At 37.7% G+C, this 20,252-nt stretch overlaps 1 protein-coding gene across 10 annotated transcripts in view; it reads right to left on the bottom strand.

Moving 5' to 3' along the window:
* The window catches only part of AKAP6 (A-kinase anchoring protein 6), a 508,387-nt gene that overhangs the window by 412,075 nt on the left and 76,060 nt on the right, over positions 1-20,252 (bottom strand). For 2 of the 10 annotated variants that reach the window (XM_024449757.2, XM_047431968.1), the window contains exon 1: positions 7,170-7,238. The exons of the other annotated variants lie outside the window; for them this stretch is intronic. The gene's annotated coding sequence lies outside the window, so the exon portion shown is untranslated. Of the gene's footprint in view, positions 1-7,169; positions 7,239-20,252 lie in introns of those variants that run through there. 10 annotated transcript variants of the gene reach the window in all.

The following is a 20,252-nucleotide window of genomic DNA, read 5'->3' as shown; positions in this document are numbered from 1 at the left end:
CTTCCCTCCTTTCTCTTTCTCTCTTTCTTTCTTTCCTCTGTTGCCCTGGCTGGGATGCAGTGGCACAATCTCAGCTCACTGCACCTCTTCCTCCTGGGTTCACATGATCCTCCCACCTCAGCCTCTCAAGTAGCTATGACCACAGGCACACACCACCACACCTGTCTAATTTTTGTGATTTTTGGAGAGACAGGGTGTCACCATGTTGCCCAGGCTGGTCTCAAACTCCTAGCTATTGGCCCACCTTGACTTCCCAAAGTGCTGGAATTATAGGCACAAGCCACCGCATCCAGCCAATGAACAGACACTTTTCAAAAGAAGGTATACATGTGGCCAACAATCATATGAAAAAAAGCTCAACATCACTGATCATTAGAGAAATGCAAATCAAAAACAAAATGAGACACCATCTGACACCAGTCAGAATGGCTATTATTAAAACGTCAAAAAAAATAACAGATGCTGGTGAGGTTGTGGAGAAAAAGGAACACTTATACACTGTTGGTGGGAGTGTAAATTACTTCAGCCATAGAGGAAGTCAATGTGGTGATTCCTCAAAGACCTAATGACAGAAATACTATTTGACCCAGCAATCCTATACCCAAAAGAATATAATTCATTCTATTATAAAGACACATACATGCATATGTTCATTGCAGCACTATTCACAATAGCAAAGACATGGAATCAACCTAAATGCCCATCAATGATAGACTGGATAAAGAAAATGAGGTACATATATACCATGGAGTACTATGCAGCCATAGAAAAGAATAAGATCATGTCCTTTGCAGGGACGTGGATGGAGCTGGAGGTCATTATCCTTAACAAATTAACACATGAACAGAAAACCAAATACTGCATGTTCTCACTTATAAGTGGGAGCTAAATGATGAGGACACATGGACACACTGAGATGAACAATATACACTGGGGCCTTTCAGAGGGTAGAGAGTAGGGGGAGGGAGAGTATCAGGAAAAATAACTAATGGATACTAGGCTTAATACATGGGTGATGAAATAATCTGTACAACAAACCCCAATGACACAAATTTTCCTATATAACAGACCTGCACTTGTACCCCTGAACTTAAAATAAAAGTTAAAAATAAACAAAACAAATTTTTTTTTAAAGAGAAAAAGGGTCTTATTTAAATAAGCAGAGATGGAAGGGAGGTGAAGGAATTCTAGGCTGGGGAAACTGCATGGATAAAGATACGTCAACACCAAGAAGCTGGGAGAATCAGCAGATAATTGAGTGTTGAAGGGAACAGGAAGCTTGATGGGGCCAAGAAACAGATTAAGCTACAAGGTAAGTTGCTGCCATATTATAAGAGGGATGAGAATGCCATGTTATGGAGTTTGGAATAAATCTTTCAGGGAGCAAGAATTCTAAAAAGATTGTCAAAAAAGAATAATTCAATTACAGTTGTATCCTAGAATGGTACAGGAAAGTCAATACATGCACTCTTACTTACCAAGAAAATGAAATAAGAAATCAGCATTATGAGAGGATCAACATCCACTTTTCCAAGCAAAGACTTTATTAACACAAAGTGTAACCTTAAAAACCTCTTCCTAGCCCAGAAAGAAAAGATAGAGAAAGAGAATGAATACAAGTTTGACTTTTGGATCAAAATGATTAAAAGAGTTCTGCACTCTGTCCTACCTACTCCATTAAATATAAAAAGAATTCTCCATTTTTAGTTATCCATTAACCCTACTCACAATCTTAGCATTATAGATTTGAAGTGGAAAAATTTTAAGGATCATTTCATGCAATGTTTCTACTTTTTTTCTTGTTCTAAAATTATTTCTAAATTAATTAAAGAGTAATATATAAATATTAGTTAAAACGTTGTAAAAATAGGCAAGATTGAAGATAAAAGATCCCTCTTTAGCCCCACATTCCCCACAGTCAACAAGCGATAAGTAGCTATTTATATGTTGTGACCTCAATATGTAAAGTAGGAAGAAAATCAGCCCTAAGAGAAGGGTCATCTTGAAAGATTCTGAAGTCTGAATTAGTTACCTGTATTACAATTCAGCAATATAGAAGTATTTGCTAATTTAGCATTTACCAGGTGTTAATAAGTATTCTACAAAAAAGTTGTTAATAAAAATAAGTTATGGCTAGGCATGGTGGCTCATGCCTGTAATCCCAGCACTTCAGGAGATGAAGGTGGGGGATCAATTAAGCCCAGGAGTTCAAGACCAGCCTGGAAAACATAATAAAACCCCATCTCCACACACACACACAAAAATACAAAAACTTAGCCAGGCGTGGTGGCATGTACCCGTAGTCCCAGATACCAGGGAGGCTGAGGTGGGAGGATCATCTGATCCCAAGAGGTCAAGGCTGCAGTGAACTGTGATCTCACCACTGTATTCCAGCCTGGGTGACAAAGTGAGACCCTATCTCAAAAAACAAACACACAAAAAATTAATTGGGAGAGGCCTGGGCAATTTCTGATTAAAGATGGCCAACTGAATACACAGACCTAATTTTTCTCCTTCCAGAAACCCTACTAACACTACTGAAAAAAGTTTTTTGTTAAATATAACCACTCAAGAATAGGAAGAAAAACAGTATTTTGGAAGCCAGAAATTAGATGAATAAATGATAAATGACTTAACCAACTCACAAAAACTAAATCTTAAGACAGCAGTACAGAGAACAAAGAACCAACCTGATTTTTACTTCAGAATCCTTAAAGTATTTTGAAATTGATGGAACCAGGTACCTCTGGAAGTAGAGATGGAGGGGTGTGTAGGGAAGAATTACCTTTATCTAAAGAAAAGTTGGGCCTTTGCCCCAGCTCCCAGGAGCTGGCATTTCCCAAGTGTTAGGAATATCTGAGTTAATTATGATGGGCCCCTTAGACTATACCTGATAAGTGTATGCTAATAAGGTGACTCAGAATGAGGGCTGGCCAGACAGAAGGACCAACCATGTGGTCAAAGGGTTGAGGCTTTGGGCAACCATGTGGGTGGTGATTCAATCAATCATGCCTATGTAATGAAGCCCCAATAAAAACTATGGACATTGAAGCTTAGACAAGCTTCCCAAATTGGTGGTATTCCATGTGCATTGTCACACATCAACAACAGAAGGGTAATACATCCCTGAGGGCCTGGAAGATTTCTCCCAGCCCCAGATTCTTCCCTACATGTTCCTTCCTGTGGCTGGCTCTTATTTGTATCCTTTTGCTACAATAAAACTGTAATGATAAGTAATAGCACTTTCCTGAGTTCTATGAGTTGTTCTAGTGTATTATCAAATCTGAGAGAGTCTGTGTGAACTCTCAACTTTATAGCCAGTTGGTCTGAAGTGAGGATGGCCCTGGGGACCCCCAAATTTGCAACTGGCATCAGAAATCTTGGGCAGAACTGTTAGTCTTGGAGGTCTGTGCCCTTAACCTCAAGCTTGGCCTAACTCCAGATAAAGAGACAATCATATGTTAAGAAGATTAATCTTGATTTTTAAAAATGTTTAAAAATCAGCTAGAACTATAGGTCTCTCCTTACTCTGTGTTGCTGGGTAGTTGCTTCCACCCCCAGTTCAGACAGAAGACTGGAGGTTTATTACCTAGAAAGAATGAATCACAGGGTCTCTGGACTGGCAGATGCCATGCATAGTTGAGGAGTATTCTGAAAACAGGAGGATTCAATTAATGCAGACATTCTGAATGTTGAGATCCCCAGCCCTCTTCCCTGATTTGGCTCCTCATACACTGGGAGCAATTCCTTAACCCTCCAGTCGAGAGACTAGAGGTTCCCTCTCTAGGAGATCTGATCAGTCCAAGAAGACAAGATACTGAAATTGGCACATCCAGATTACCCTACAGTGACATTCAGTCAACAGGCCCACCTACACATTCAGAGCATCCAATCAGCTTTCTAGTCTTTTACTCCTAAATATGAGCGGGCAGTCAAGGATTAGCAGAGATTTAGGGAAAGCTCCAATTTGTATAACAGAGTCACAGCAAGCAACAAAAATCTCAACCTGGAGGAAACACACCATCCATGGAAAATATGATTTCGGTAAAAAAGAAAGATTATCAGAGATAAGATATTATATCCATAAAATAAGAAAAAGATGCTATATTTCAAAAGAAATATTTGCGGAACAAAAAAAGGACTCTGGGAAAATAAAAGTATGTATAATAGCAAAAATGAAAATCACAATATAATAGCTAAAAATAAAGTTGAGGAAATCTCACAGAATGTAAAGTAAAAAGGTAAATAGATATAAATTAGGAGAGATAATTAGTGACTATTGCAGGAGGTCCAACTTCTAGAGGAAAGGAGTTCCTGAAGGCAAGAGGAAAGAGAAAGGAGGAATCGTCAATGAAATCTTTCAAGAAAATGAAGGACATGAGTTGCCAAATTTAAAAGACCTGCCTAGTGCACTAAAAATAGACACACACCAAAGTCACATTATTTGAAACCTCAGAAGATGCAGGGAAGTAAGCTTTGGGGTGGAAGTAGAGGCATATACAAAGGATGATAAATCAGATTGATTTGGATTTCTCAACAGCAACATTAAAAGCCAGAAGACAATTTGTTTTACATAAGAAAGAAAAATAATTCTAACCTAGAATTTCATACCAAGAATAATATAGACTAATAATCAATGAGAGGGTAGAATAAAGGTATTTTCAGACACACAAACACACACACACACACACACACACACAAATCAATCTCCTGCACACTTTTCTTAAAAGATACCAGAGGCTATGCTCTGCCAAAACAAAGGAGTAAAGCAAGAAAGAAGTAGGCACAGGATGAAGCAACAGGAGGCCCACCTCCCCAGAGTGAAGAGGAAGGGAAATCCCAAAAGGGCGGCGGTATACTAGGCAAGAAGGGCTTCCAGTCCAGACTACAACAGGTCAGAAGGCTCCTGTCAAGACTGCTTCAAACAGATGATGTTGAGAGAAAATCTGATGTAAATGAACATACTCAGAAGAGATTTACCCAACTAGTAGAGAATTGGGGGTTGAACTGGAGATAAACACATAGAAAACTAAGCACACAATAATAATTATAAATTCCAGAGAGAAACCAAAAGTTGTTGGAAAAATAGAACAAAAATCATATTCCTCTTTGTGATATAGCTACCAACTGCACTTAAATAGTGTTAATAATTTAAACACTAAATGCTGCAATAACCCAAAATCATGACATAGTTTTATAGGAAGAAAGGAGGGATGGGAATTGTGTGCATGTGCAAGTGCATACCTATGAGAAAGTGAGAGAAAGAGAGAGACAGGGTAGGGGAATGAGCTACATAAATTCTCATCTTTTACAGTGAGAGGTAAATAGATAAAGCTAAGGAAAAAAAATACTCAGGGAGTAGCCATACCATCCTATTGTTTCAAGATAGAGGTAGTTACCAAAAGTATCAGCTAAAAGATGAAAAGTGTTGCCTCTGGAGAATGGGAAATGGAAAAGAAGAGAGGCTGGAGACTGTTGTGTATGTTAAGAAACCTCAGAATTATATGATTTAACTATTTGTATGCAAACATAAAGCTTAAAAAATACCTAGATTAAAAAATGAAAGAACTTCTTTATTACAGGACAGGGTTTTAACACTCTCAGGTACATTGAGCATTTCCAAATGGAGGATAAGGAGATAGAGTGCATTAGTTCCAAAATCTACTTTACTATGAAAATCATTATTTTTTGTTTTTTTTCTTTTGTTTTTGTTTTTGTTTTTGTTTTTGTAGAGAATGTCATAAGACTGGGTGGGGTACAACTTGGTTGATATTAAATTTAAAATGCTAAAATTTCAAAATTGTGTCTATCCACTCCTAAAACATTGTATTTTTTTTTAATACAAAATGCTCACTGTGACTCAAATCAATAATGAGGTTGCATTTGCTTCATTCAATCCCTTCAAGAAAGAACTGCTTCCTGTGAAATAAGCCTGATCTCAGGATGAAAACCACAGGTGATTAAGTGATCAAGTTGAAAGTAAGGTTATTTCAGTATCTGCCCCATGAGTAGATATATTGTGGAGTGAATAACTTTTATTTTTTAAGACAATTGAATCAGGCTGAGATATCAAATAATACGTTAAGCCACATCTGTCAGCTAATATTACATTTGTTTTTGCTGTTCATACTGCAACATGAGAACACATCAAATAACTACTCACACTGCTGTTCTTTCATAAACAGAAGACATTTCATGGGTGATGAACTTTCATAAAGAGCACGATTTTCAAAAGCATTATTCCTATTCACTATTATTTCCTACTCACTATAGACTCCCAGACATGTAAAAAGAGTTTGCCTTAGAAGACTCTGATGTCAGATTTTAAAATACTAACAAGAGATAGCAAGGGCTGTTAATATCCAGAGATTTGATGTGATCAGAGATCCTCCCTCTGAATATTCTTTATTACAGAAAGAATAATAAAGGTCTTCTACTATGTCGGCTTTTCAAAGAAACAATTTCAGCAAGGTAGAACCTATTATTTCAAATATTTTCTAATGGTTTTGCTTAAAATGCATCAATTTCATTACAGTCAAGCATTTCAGCTTAATTAGCCACCTAAATTGAAGGTGAATGCTTGATAAAGTATGAATTGCTTCAAGATGAATTGGTATTTTGAAAAATAATCCCTAGAACAAGTAATTTAAGTTACATATCATAGATAAATAATTTGTTACATAAAATGCGTATTTTCTAGTGGAAACTAGACAGTACGAGCTTATAAATATTTTTGTTCTGTTTAAGCTGGTAGATAATAAAAGCATGGGACACAAACCAGCTCAATACAAATTCACCTTCAATCAATTTGTCTCTTTTTAAATAATTATTTATTATCTTGCTCAATGAAATAAATAGCAACAATGAGAACCGCTGAGTAAGAGCTAATGACTGAAATGCCTCTAAAAAGAATCCAGTAGGTCCTTCATCAACCCTAGAAAATTAGTTATAGATTAAATATTACCAGATACTTTGCCAACTCTTCCATCCAGCAAAGACAGAAACAAGATTTTTTTTAAAATTTAGGTGTGTCTCTAAGTCACAGGAATATAAGGGACGGAATGCTGAACATTATAATAGGTCAACCCATATTCTCTCCCCTCTGCCATGAGAGTGCTAAGGCCTAAGATAAAGCAAAGACCCATCAGCCATTTGCTTTTATTACTTACCACTAACCAAAGTCTAGCTGTGATGTGTTAGGAAGGAAGCAGCAGTTTCTAAGCAGGGTCATGATTTCTGAGCCTTTCACTTTTTGCCCTCCTTTGCCCTCTTGGATAAAACTTTAACATCCCAGCACTTGAGCAGCTGGCTGCCATCCAAGAGTGATTCAGACGTTTGGAAGGTAATTGTCCCCTATGCTTTTTAATTTTTCATTCTTTCTCTTTGTTAGCAATAGTTTCTCATAATTGACATGACACTCAGAAACAACTGGTCCTTTTCAATAGCCTCTAGAAATCATCTATTTATAATTTTCCAGTTAATGCTTCACAATCATCTCATGACATTGCTACTGTTGGTCTTACTTAGTCATTTGCAGCCAAACGCAAATGAATCTCAGACAAATTCTGCTTGTCATAACTCTATTCATTGTGCTCTTTGGCCTAATCTTATCATTGTTAATAGTTCCGTATGATTCAGACACTGATTTGGATACTCGAGGTCCTCTGACTGAGTTTCCTAAACAAGAAATGATACTTCACATGCCTGAAAATGAATAATCTAGAATATTTCATTAACATTCAGCTGACCAGTTTTAAATAAGAGCAGTTGGGATTGCATTCAATTAAACTGGAGTCTATAAGGTAAGAGTTTTATTTATTCTTTTAATTTTTTAAAATACAAAAAAAAGCCTGAAGAATATGACTTTTCTCTGTGTCAAATGTGCAAAATAACATAAAAATTTTAAAGAAAAACTTAGATTTATAAGAAGGCAGAGGAGTATATCGGCCTGACAGTTTTTACACTACAGTTAAGCAGAATAAAAGGTATTTATTGAGCCTCTCACTTTGTTTAGTACTCCCTTGCTGAGCTCTGGCTAACAAGCAAGTCAACATTTTTTGTCCCTCCACCCTCCAGAAATTTCAAGTCCAGGAAAGAAAGAACTGGCAGCTTCCTTGTGTATTTACTCCTCAACTGAATTTTACAGAGAAATACGTGGAGAAAAACTGATCTTGAACCCAAAGAAGTCTCTGTACTTTTAAACTGAGATTCTCAGTCTATATGTATATTTTTTTAAAGTATCTGCCTATCGTTTCATAGGGATCGCATAACAAGATTTATATTTAACCCTGTTAAAATATGACAAGATTTATATATATTTAAATATAACAAGGCTTATAACAGGATCTCTGTGTTCAGGCAAGGTTACTACAAGATTTAGAATATTTCTCTTTATGAGGACAGAACTTTTAAAAATAGCATCTTGGATTCAGACTGTGAAGCAGTCACTTGAACTAAATAATATCGTTTTTTATTATTCAAAAAGTAATCAAGGTAATCCCAGCACTTTGGGAGGTGAGGCGGGCAGATCATTTGAAAACAGGAGCTCGAGACCAGCCTAGCAAACACAGTCAAACTCCACCTCTACTAAAAATACAAAAAATTATCTGGTTGCAGTGGCACATGCCTTTAATCCCAGTTACTCGAGATGCTGAGGCATGAGAGTCGGTTGAACCCAGGAGGCGGAAGTTGCAGTGAGCCAAGATCACACCACAGTCCAGAACACCAGCCTGGGTGACAGCAAGACTCTGTCTTAAAACAAAACAGAAAGAAGTAATCAAGAAAAAATACACTTTGTGAGACTGAGGCGGGCAGATCATTTGAGGTCAGGAGTTGGAGTCCAGCCTGGCCAACATGGTGAAACCCCATCTCTACTAAAAATACAAAAATTAGCCAGGCATGGTGGTGGGCACCTGTAATCTCAGCTACTCGAGAGGCTGAGGCAGGAGAATCACTTGAACCCGGGAGGCAGAGGTTGCAGTGAGCCAAGATTGCATCACTGCACTCCAGCCTGGGCGACAGAAAAGAGATTCCATCTCAAAAAAGGAAAAAGAATAAATAGACAAATTGGACTTTATGAAAGTTTTAAAATTTTGTGCATCAAAAGACCATATCAACAAAATAAAAAGACAGCCTGTAGAATGGGAAAGAATATTTGCATATATCTGATAAGGGATGAATATCAAGAATATATCAAAAACTCCCAACACTCAATAACAACAAAAGGCCCAATTCAAAAATGGGCAAATAAACATTTCTTCAAAGAAGATGTACAAATGCCCAATAAGCACATAAAAAGATGCTCAACATCACTTATTAGGGAAGAATGAAAATCAAAACTACAAGGTATTGCCTCATACTGACTGGTATGGGTACTATCAAAAACACACAAACAGAAAATAATTAGTGTTGATAAGAATGTGGAGAAATTGGAACCTTTGTGCATTGTTGGTGGGAATGTAAAATGGTACAGCTACTTTAGAAAACAGTATGGCAGTTCCTCAAACAATTAAAAATACAATTACCATATGGGCTAGCAATTCCCCTTTGGGTATATGCCCAAATTGATTGAAAGCAGGGTCTTAAAGAGATATTTGTACCCCCATCTTCATAAGCAGCATTATTCACAATAGCTAAAAAAATGAAAGCAACCCAAGTATCCATCAACAGATGAATGGCAAAACAGATAAGCAAAATCTGGTATATACATACGACAGAATATTATTCAGCCTTAAAAAGGAAGGAAAATCTGATATAGTCTATAACATGGATGAACCTTGAGGACATTATGCTAAATTAAATAAGATGGTCACAAAAAGATAAATACTATATGATTCCACTGATATGAGGTACTTAGAGTAGTCTAAATCATAGAGACAGACAGTAAAATTGTGGTTTCCAGGGGCTAAGGGAAGAATGAAATGGGGAGTTATTGTTTAATGGTATAGACTTTCAGTTTTATAAGATGAAACAAGCCATGAAGATAAATGGTGGTGATGGCTGCACGATACGATGAATGTAGTTAATACCTTTGAACTGTACACTTCAACATGGCTAAGGTAATAAATTTTATGTTATATGCATTTTACCACAATTTTTTAAAAGTAGAAGAGAAAAGCACTGAGAAATAGAAAAGAAATGTTGTTAGCAATGTAAGTATGGATAGATAAAAGTATCTGTAGATCTAAAACATATAAACTAAGTTAACTTAAAGTCTCAAGTTAATACATGAATTAATTTTAATTAAAAAACAATTCCGGATACAACCTAAAAATAAAAGTAATGAAAGTCTTAAGATAACAAAGATAATTCCCAAATACTGATTGAGTATCTGCTCAGTTAAGGCACTGGTGTAGGCACACATATACAAACCTTAAGACACACGTGTGACTGCTTACAATAGCACTGTAGGATGACATCATCCATTGGCTTAAAGAGAGACTTATGTACCAGTGTAATGCAATATCTCCCAAAGAATTTGTAAATCGTGCTGATTTAGCCCACTCTTCTTGTCTTCTACTTCTTTTCCATCAGTATTGCCAGTTATGTCTCTGTCCATGAAATATTTAAGGAGAAAAATAGCCAAAATCTCTTTCTTAGGTTATAATCAGATCCATTAGCTCTATGCAAAACTAATTGGTGGGTTAAAAATACATAATGTAATTACTTGTGCTTAAAGCGAAACAGGCATCCAAATTTAGTTATTGGAACAAAGGCAAGCTAAATTCAGTGAGTGCATTAGCCTGGTGAGTTATTCAAGGTCATTCAGTGGCTAGGGCAAAGCTAAATAGAGGCTGAATTGCCCAAAAGTTTAGGTTTGATCATTCTCTTTTAAACTTGGCTATAAAGTGAAAGGGCTTCAAATTTTTCCTCAATGCTTTGTGTCATCTTAATAAACACTGCCTACATAAGGACAAAAAAATGTTAATTATATACATATATGTTCAAAATGAAAATACCCATTCGAGTAGAGCTACTTCAAGTCAGCTGTTTCCCATTCAAATGCAAACAAAAAGACCAATTCATTCAGCTGTAAAATTTCATAAGGTGAGCTCCGATGACCAGCGGGAACAGTATATCCTAACACAATTCTGACATAAATATAAATAATATTCAGAGCATCATTTCCTGAAACATGGGTCATGTAATACCGGTTCTGCAAAGTACTTTAAGAAAATGTTTGGAGGTTGATACATCCAGGAAATCCTGCTTACACAGCCCTTAAGAGAGATATGCAGCTCACATTAGTTCCAAGGAGTCTTCAGAAACTTGTCATTTTTCTGTAATTCAGTCTTTTCCAAACATACATTTCTTTATTAACAGAACCAGCACTCCCTGGTATACACTTTGGGGAACACTGCTCTAAAAAACTTCAAGTATTCATTGTATTCAAATACAGTGTGATTCTAGACCTTATGAAATCAAAAGCAAGAGGCCTTTCTTATACTGTCTCTGAAACCTTTGACCTCAGCAGTCCCCACTTCATGGCCAGGCTTACTCGACCTCAAGCTACCAGTATGTAAAGGAGAAAATACTGAAGGTTGTGCTGGTTTCTCATTTTATTTACCATCTAATTTCAACTCAATCTCCCATTCTGTTTTTAATAAGCTTATGTCCCTTTCAACATTCTCTAAGTTTCAGGCTGGGATTCTATTTCTGGCATTCTAGATTCTGGCTAGCCAAATTCCTGACTACCTTCTGACACTGGACTCTTTTGTACTCAGTGTATAGCTTTTACCTTTGATCCTGTACAGAAGCCTGACAATTTAAGTCTGTCTCTGCTTTGGGCTCATCCTCCCTCCTGCCTGTGATAAAATTAATAAAGGCAAACTTCAAACTGTGACAAGGAGGATATGCTCCATAGAGACAGAGACATCCAATGATGTTTCTTGCAACTTGGATTCATCCATCAATCAATGAAGAAATGCTCAAAGAGCTCCTTCTGTCCTCAAGACATTATGCTAAGAGCTATGGAGAATTTAGCAGAAATCACAATGGCAGGGCACTTTATTTTGAGTTAGGTTTTGGGGAGGAATTGGCCCAGGAAGCAAGGGAGAAATTTGTGATTCAGTAACTGTGAGGTTCCTCCTTCTATGGCTGTATATCACAAGGATTTAAGAATGGTTTTTGGCAAGGCACAGTGGCTCGTGCCTATAACCCCAGCGCTTTGGAAGACAAAGGCAGGAGATCACTTGAGCCCAGGAGTTTGAGAGCAGCCTGGGCAACAGAATGAGACCCATTGCTACAAACAATTTTAAAAAATAGCCAGGTGTGGTGGCACATGCTTGTGGTCCCAGCTACTCAGGAGGCTGAGGTGGGAGGATCACTTGGATCTTGAGAGGTCAAGGCTGCAGTGAATCATGATCCCACCACTGAACTCCAGCCTGGGCAACAAAGCAAGACCCCATCTAAAAAAAAAAAAAAAAAAAAAAAAATTTCAATAAATACTTTCTTTTTGTCCCTAAGACCATCCCTGACCTTTCTGATGCTATTCTTACATAACATCTTTTGGTGATAAAGATAACATACTGTTAAAAAGAAAGGCATTTTTAAAACAGTATCTCCACTCTTAAGGACCTCTGGATAGCCTCTAGAGTAGAAATCTAGAAGACACTGTATATAAAATGGCACATGGTGAGATTGATTATCTTGTTTACAGTGAAAATCCCCAATTTCAAGATTGAGAAAAAAGTGCAATGTCTATACCTACTCTCAGCCCACCATACCATCTTTTTTCTTTAACCAAAGGCATTTGTATTTGTTAAGAAATATAGGTCTAGACCAAGGCAGGTTGCTGATAACATCATCCGTGGTGTGTGTTATTGATCTACTATGCATATGGGCACATTGCATATGCTGATTTGTTTTAGGGGAATCATTTCCTGGAGACTTGAAGAGTGTAACTATTAGAAGCTCCTTTGAAGTACACAGCAATGAACTTGTAGCTTCACTTCCTAAGAACTCAACAGAGCCATAACGAAAGTGAACAGTAAATTTCTTTTGGCTATGGCATCTGATAAAATAGAGTCCCTTCATAGAATGCATAATGCCTGCATTATTTTTGTATACATAGCCTTGCCAAAAGATGCTCTTCAAAGTTAATGCTACAAAAGGGGAGAGTAGTAAGTATTGTGTCAATATTATGTACCAAAATTATGACGTATGTCCAATTATCATGGAAACATGTCATGTAATTTATTTCCAAAAGATACAAAAAAGATTATAACTCCTTAAAAGCAAGGATTGTGTGACACAATTTTGCATCCTACATGGTGTCTCACTCAGACTCTTCTGCATAGCAGGCATGTGATATGCTTGTACTGAATATGTAAATGTGTCAAGGAGTGAGTGAGACACTGAATGCATGAATGATTCAATTAGTGAAGAAATAAAAATTCAATAAAGTCTTTATATAAATCAGCTGGTAGACAATTGTATGCTACCTACTAAATAAGAGGGTGTGAAATAGTTAAAGAGAAAAGAAAATCCAGAAAAGCTGAAAGTAACTACTGGAAAATGTTTTTTTGTTTGCTTGTTTTATGTAATAAAGGAACTTTTGAGGTAGCATTCAATCTGGACTCTGCCTCACAAAAACCAAGATCCTGACAAATCCATTCTACTTACCAATGTGTTTTTTTTAAAGCCATTTCCTGGTATTAGCTTGTAAATGAAGCAGCTATCATTACGGAAAACATATTAGAGAAGAAAAACTAATTTTCTACTTCTGGTAAAGACAGAAGATCAAATGTTCTCATTAGCCTCTGCTCCCTCCCAAAACCCATAAAAATATCACTAAAGAATTAAAAAAAAAAAAAAGAGTAAGAGAGATGGTAACAACAAGAGGATTTTGGAAACCAGAAAATAAATGGGCAAGAAATAATTGATTTAGCAGATCTAAGAAAGCTAAATCCTAAACTGGCAGTGGGGAAACTGAGAGTCAATCAAATTTATAGGTAGAGCCCCCAAATGCCCAAAAACTGATGACATCTTGTTCCCCTGGAAGAAGGGTGAAAGTGGGCCTAAACCTAAGATAATCACCTGGAAGCCAATTTAAGAACCAGCTAAAACCCCAGATTCCCTCTCTTGGGAGTCTGCCTCTCTATGCAGAGAATAAAATAGAGGGTCTCTAGATTAAAGGATACCAATGTTGAAGGCAGGGACACCTTACCCTAAACTGGGAAATTAGGTCAACATATGCTTATTAAATGTTTAAATCCTGTCTTCTTCCTCCATTCAATTCCCAGAGTGCAATCAGCAGGTGGGAATCTCATCAAATCTAAAGGAAATATCTAAAGATATTGGTGGAAGGATGTTCCATCAATAAACAGCCCATATCAACCTATATAGCAGGATTTCTCAATCTTGGCACTTTCGACATTTGGGACCAGAAAATTCTTTGTTGTGGAGAGCTGTCCTGTGCATTGTAGAATGTCTAGTAGTAGTACCTGTGGCCTCTACTCATTAGATGCCACGACCTCTCCAGTCATGACAAACAGAAATGTCTCTAAATATTGCCAAATGTCCTATAAGGAGCAAAATCACTCCTGGTTGAAAATCACTGCTTTATAGTGAGGCTCATAGCTGACAATTCCCTCTCATATACTCAGAGTTTCAAATCAGCTTCTTAGATATTAATGGATACTAGTTCAAGTTATGCATGGTTGAGCACAGATGCACTTACAATTTATGCTTGAATTAACAATTTAAAAAGCATAGTGTGATTTAGCTGTTTTCAACTAAGATTATTTTATGAAATCTAAATTTTTAAAAAATCTTTCTAACAACATCATCTAAAGTTAAGAGTATCCCAAAATAATTAAAAAGTAAAAAACAAAAACAAAAAACCTATTAATATGGTCTACCTATGGGCAATAAATCGAGATTTACTTTACCCCATAAATATCTAAATAGTTTGCTCTTTCTCACTCAAGGAACATTTGTTATCTTAATAATAATCTTTAAAAAAAAGTCTCATTATACATGTCAATGAAAAGAGTCAAACTCTATAAAATATTTGAAGAGATTTATTTTGAGCCAAACGTGAGTGACCATGGCCTGTGACACAGCCCTCCGGAGGACCTGAGAACATGTGCCTGAGGTGGTTACGGCACAGCCTGGTTTTATACATTTTGGGGAGACATGAGACATCAAACAAATACATTTAAGATGTACATTGGTTTGGAAAGGCAGGACAACTCAAAGTGGGGAGCTTCCAGGATATAGGTAAATTTAAATTTTTTCTGGTTGACAATGGGTTAAGTTTATCTAAAGACCTGGGATCAACAGAAAGGAAATGTTTGGGTTAAGATAAAGGGGTATGGAGACCAAGTTTTATTGTGCAGAGGAAACCTTCAGACAGCAGACTTCAGAGAGAATAGGTTATAAAATATTTCTTATTGGACTTAAAAGGGTGCCTGACTCTTAGTTGATTATCTCCTGGATCTGCAAAGAAAAAAAAAGGAGGGGAAGGGGATTCTCTACAGAATGTCGATTTTTCCCAGAAGAGGTGACTTTGCAGGGCAGTTTCAAGATATGACAAGGAAATATATTTGGGGTAAAAACATTTTGATTTCCTTCCTTATTTGTTATGTGATGTTATGCCAGAGTCAAGTTGGAAAGCAGGCCACGTTACACAGGGTTAAATAAAACCCCTCTGATGAGACTTTATGGTTTGCAGGGCATGACTCCCTAGGTTCCTTAGGTAGGATTTGGGCAAAATAAGAAAAAAAAGGCCAGAGTTTAGTCCTCATACATAATCAAGAGAAGTGAGTAAACCAAGTGGACTCTCCTGGAATGCCTCTGAGGTTCTGGTCTTTAAGAGATGAGCATCTGACATCAGTTGGAACATGTAGAATTTTATTACCTTTCACATTGTTTACAAGTTTTATTGTCAGTTTCAAATTAGAAGAGGAAGAAAATCTTTGTTATTAGGCCATATTACTATGTGAAATACATTTTGAATATAAGGAAAAACTTTTTAATGAGAACCACACAATTTCAGATAGAAAGGAACCTCAGAAGCCATCTGTCAACCTCCTGCCCAAGGAAGGAATCACCACTTCAAGAGTCCTGGAACATGTTCAAGGATAAGGGGCTACTGTTTTTTGAAGAAGATGGTTCAGTTGTGAATCACCTAGAAAGGTGCCCAAGTCTGCTTTTATAACTTTTATACACTAGTCTAGCCTTTAAAGGGGAAAAAAACTGTTTTTCTCTCTAACTCATCTGTTTCAGTTCAAGAATTCTGGGCTCCTTTGTCATCTGTGTAGTTCTGTAGTCCCTAAGATATGTCTAAGCCTGTATCTAACTCCCTTCAAACATCCTAGTCATCTAGGTAGCTGGCATTTTCAAAGTGAAGGGCATCTTGTATGAATTAGTTCATATGCTAATCTTTTTTGTTTTGTTTTGGTTTTTGAGACGGAGTCTTGCTCTGTGGCCCAGGCTGGAGTGCAGTGGTGCAATCTTGGCTCACTGCAACCTCCACCTGCCAGGTTCAAGTGATTCTCCTGCCTCAGCCTCCTGAGTGGCTGGGATTACAAGCGTATGCCACCATGCCTGGCTAATTTTTGTATTTTTAGTAGAGACAGGGTTTCACCATGTTGGCCAGGCTGGTATCAAACTCCTGACCTCAGGTGATCCACCTGCATCGGCCTCCCAAAGTGCTGGGATTACAGGCGATATAGGGGTGAGCCACCACACCCTGCCTATATAAACTAATCTTATTGGGTTATATCAACTAATCATGCCACACATGAAGCCTTTCACCAGCATTTTCCTTGCCATGGATAAGAAAGCCCCACCCATCACCAATATCCCTCCATCAAACCATGATCTACATTCCTACTCCAAGACCATTAGAGTGAAGGCACAAAGATCATCTACCTTCCCTACACATATCTCCTACTTGGAGATATTTCTAGACTAGAGCAAAGAATAGTAACTCTGGTTACAATAACAGACTAAGGTCAGGTCACACTCAATTTACTTGTATTCTTAAGAAAAACTCCACAGCTGATACCTGAGCTCTCATCCTTATGTTTAGAGTGGTTGCTCATTGAAAATTATATAATTTTATAAATTATATATTATATATTATAAATTGTATAATTATATATAAGCTCCCAGTAATTAAAACCATCACCCAAAACCAGTCCGTCAATTACTCTGAACACTGAAAACCTTTTTGTACAAATATTATTGCTAATCTGAGACCTATTCCTTTCTTTTAATCATTTTTACGTCTCTGACCCAATTGAGTAAAAGTCATTTTAAAGTTAAATTTACAACTACGTTTACAAGACAATGCAACATTTGAAGAATCATTAAAATTTTTATTATCCCTCAGCAGATTTTTGTTCTTTTCCCCTCCTTCCCTGTTCATTTCCAGTTGAAGAATCCTGGCTCCCAGCCAGCCAGAGTCTTGGAGGAGTTCTTGTTCAACCACCCACTCCCCGCTGCTAGCCATGGTGTGGCAAACAGAAATTTTTACTCATGCCATGATAACTACCTTCTTAGAAGTTTTCCTACCTCCCTTGTGTTACAGTCTGGGGGTGTTAGAAAGCCAATTATTTGCATGGGTTATGGAAGATTCTGACATCCCCTAGAAAGAGCCTAATCATCTGGCACTTTTCTGCACATCATCTGGCAATAAACACCATCTGCAGTTCAGCAAGGAAACTCTTTGCTGTGCCGTAGGATGTTTCTAAACTCCTAGCGGTCATTAAAAGCAATTATTTTACCCAGATTCATTCCTCCTACCAGTGTAGAAACCCTTCTCCTCCACGTTGATACATCCTAATCCAGAATCCGTGGGGATTTTGTATGGTTTCTGTGTGTTTGTGGAGGTTGGCAACAAGAGATGAGTACTACTCCACTGCTCTAAGTCTACATGGTACCATTTGATAGAGAGCCTGTAAGTCTAAAACCATGGGTTTCCTGAAAAACACTAGGAACTGAAATGAGAAGGAGAGATAGATCAGGAAGCGGAACAAAGGAAGAAGCAGAGAAACTGAAAAATTCAAACCACCTCACTAACATGCAGTAAATATCAGTTTTAGGAGCTCTGAAAACATGCCTGCACATCTGTTCAGGTCAGCCTCCCCAGATTCCTCTTCAGACTGGGCCAGGTAGGCTCAGACTCTGCCCTCACACTCATTGCTCTGTGGAGGCTGAGGCTCCTTTCTGAGCCTGTGTGGGGATCTCCTCACACATAGCCGAGCTGGAGAGCTGATGCAGCCCAGGCCTGAGAACAGTGGGGACTGGATGGTTTGTCTAATTCTCTGAACATAAACTTGGCAGGAGGTCCTTTGGGTTACTAAGCAACTGAACATCTGACATGAAGCCTATTAACAACCTTTTCCATAGATTAGTAAAAGTTCCCAGAACAAATTCATGTCTGGTCCAGTGAAGAAAGAAGAAGGAAACAGGGGTAGCCAAGAAGGGGATGGGAAAGGAAAGCCAAGATGGAAAAAGGAACCAGCCTGTCCTGTGACATGTGGACGTAGGAAGATGAGGAAGGCACATAAATGGAGGCACTTGGGTGAGAGTTGGAGGCATCCAGGGAAGGAGAATATGAATAAAGTATGGTATAAAATGATCCAGAATGGCACTTGCCACAAGCTCTAGGAAGCAGTCTTACGGCAAAAAGAGAACTTCCAAGGTTTTCATTTGTTATGTAGAATTATAGATCTTTCTTCCATTTTGTTATAATCATCCCCACTCAAGCACTCACCACAAGTACATGGCTGTCACAAAAATCTGTAAGGATAAGACACTAATGGGCTTGACAATTTCATGAAAACAGATAAGGAATGACTTGGAAAGTTCTCAATTTATAACTTAATGTCCTGGGTAAGCTGCCTTCCTGCGGCCCCTAGATTCACTCTCTTTCTTTTCTACTTTACTTTGCTGTGCCCAGGGTATAGACAATAAGGGACTGAATTGTTTGTGGAGAATTGTAAAACAATAATAAACTGACCAAAAGTCAACTTGCTTTTTATTAACACCAGGGCTAACATTCTTAAACTAAGAATTACTGCAATTTTAACAACATATAAGCCTCCAATTCTCTCTCTTTTTAAAATTTTCTTTATAAAAACATTGTATTCCCCAGGCCCAGTGGCTCATGTCTGTAATCCCAGGACTTTGAGAGGCCAAGGTGGGCAGATCACGAGGTCAGGAGCCCAAGACCAGCCTGGCCAACATAGGGAAACCCCGTCTCTACTAAAAATACAAAAATTAGCTGGGCATAGTGGCACATGCCTGTAATCCCAGCTACTCGGGAGGCTGAGGCAGGAGAATCGCTTGAACCCAGGAGGCAGAGGTTACAGTGAGCCAAGATCACACCACTGCACTCCCTCCCACCTGGGCAACAGAGCAAGACTCTGTCTCAAAACAAACAAACAAACAAAAAATTGTATTCTATTCTACATGGAAGCTAATTCAGAGAGCTTTCGTTACACTATCAGTCCTGACACACTTAAAGCCAGCTACACTCCTTCCCAGGATACATTCTAAGGGTCTAGAACCATTCAAGTTTGCTGCAGGAGCAGTTCCTACCTCTGGCCTCCAGAGTGCTACCTATTCCTTGTTTAAACAGTAGATTAGAAACTGATTTTCAAAAGGAAGAACTGAAACTTGAGTTATATCAATTCTGTCATTCTTCATGGACACTTGGAATTTTTAATTTATGTTTAAAATTTAAAAGAGTGTGTATTAGTCAATTCTCACACTGCTATGAAGAAATACAGGAGACCGGGTAATCTCATCACAGTTCTGCATGACTGGGGAGGCCTCAGGAAATATTGCAATCATGGCAGAAGGCACCTCTTCACAGGGTGGCAGGAGAGAGAATGGGTGCTAGCAGGGGAAAAGCTAGATGGTTATAAAACCATCAGATCTCATGAGAACTCACTATCACAAGAACAGTATGGGGGAAACTGCCCCCATGATTCAATTACATCCACCTGGTCCCACCATTGACACGTGGGGATTTGGGGATTATAATTCAAGATGAGATTTTGGGTGGGGACACAATCAAACCATATCATAATGAAACAGAGAATGAACTGCAAACTGAAATCTGAAATATTTTTGTTTGGTAAATGAAAATTTGAGATTATACATGAAATATTTTACCAAATTTGAATAATGTCAACATTGTAATTTAGTCTTTTAAAATTGTCAATTATATTTGTTGTGAAATTTAAGAATGAGTCAAAAAAACAATCATTATGACATCATTATTGAAAATAATT

This window comes from Homo sapiens, chromosome 14 (genome assembly GCF_000001405.40).
Source record: "Homo sapiens chromosome 14, GRCh38.p14 Primary Assembly".
In the NCBI taxonomy this organism is placed as follows: Eukaryota; Metazoa; Chordata; class Mammalia; order Primates; family Hominidae; genus Homo; species Homo sapiens.
Note: the sequence above shows the minus strand (reverse complement) of the source record. Positions and strands in the feature narration are given on the sequence as shown.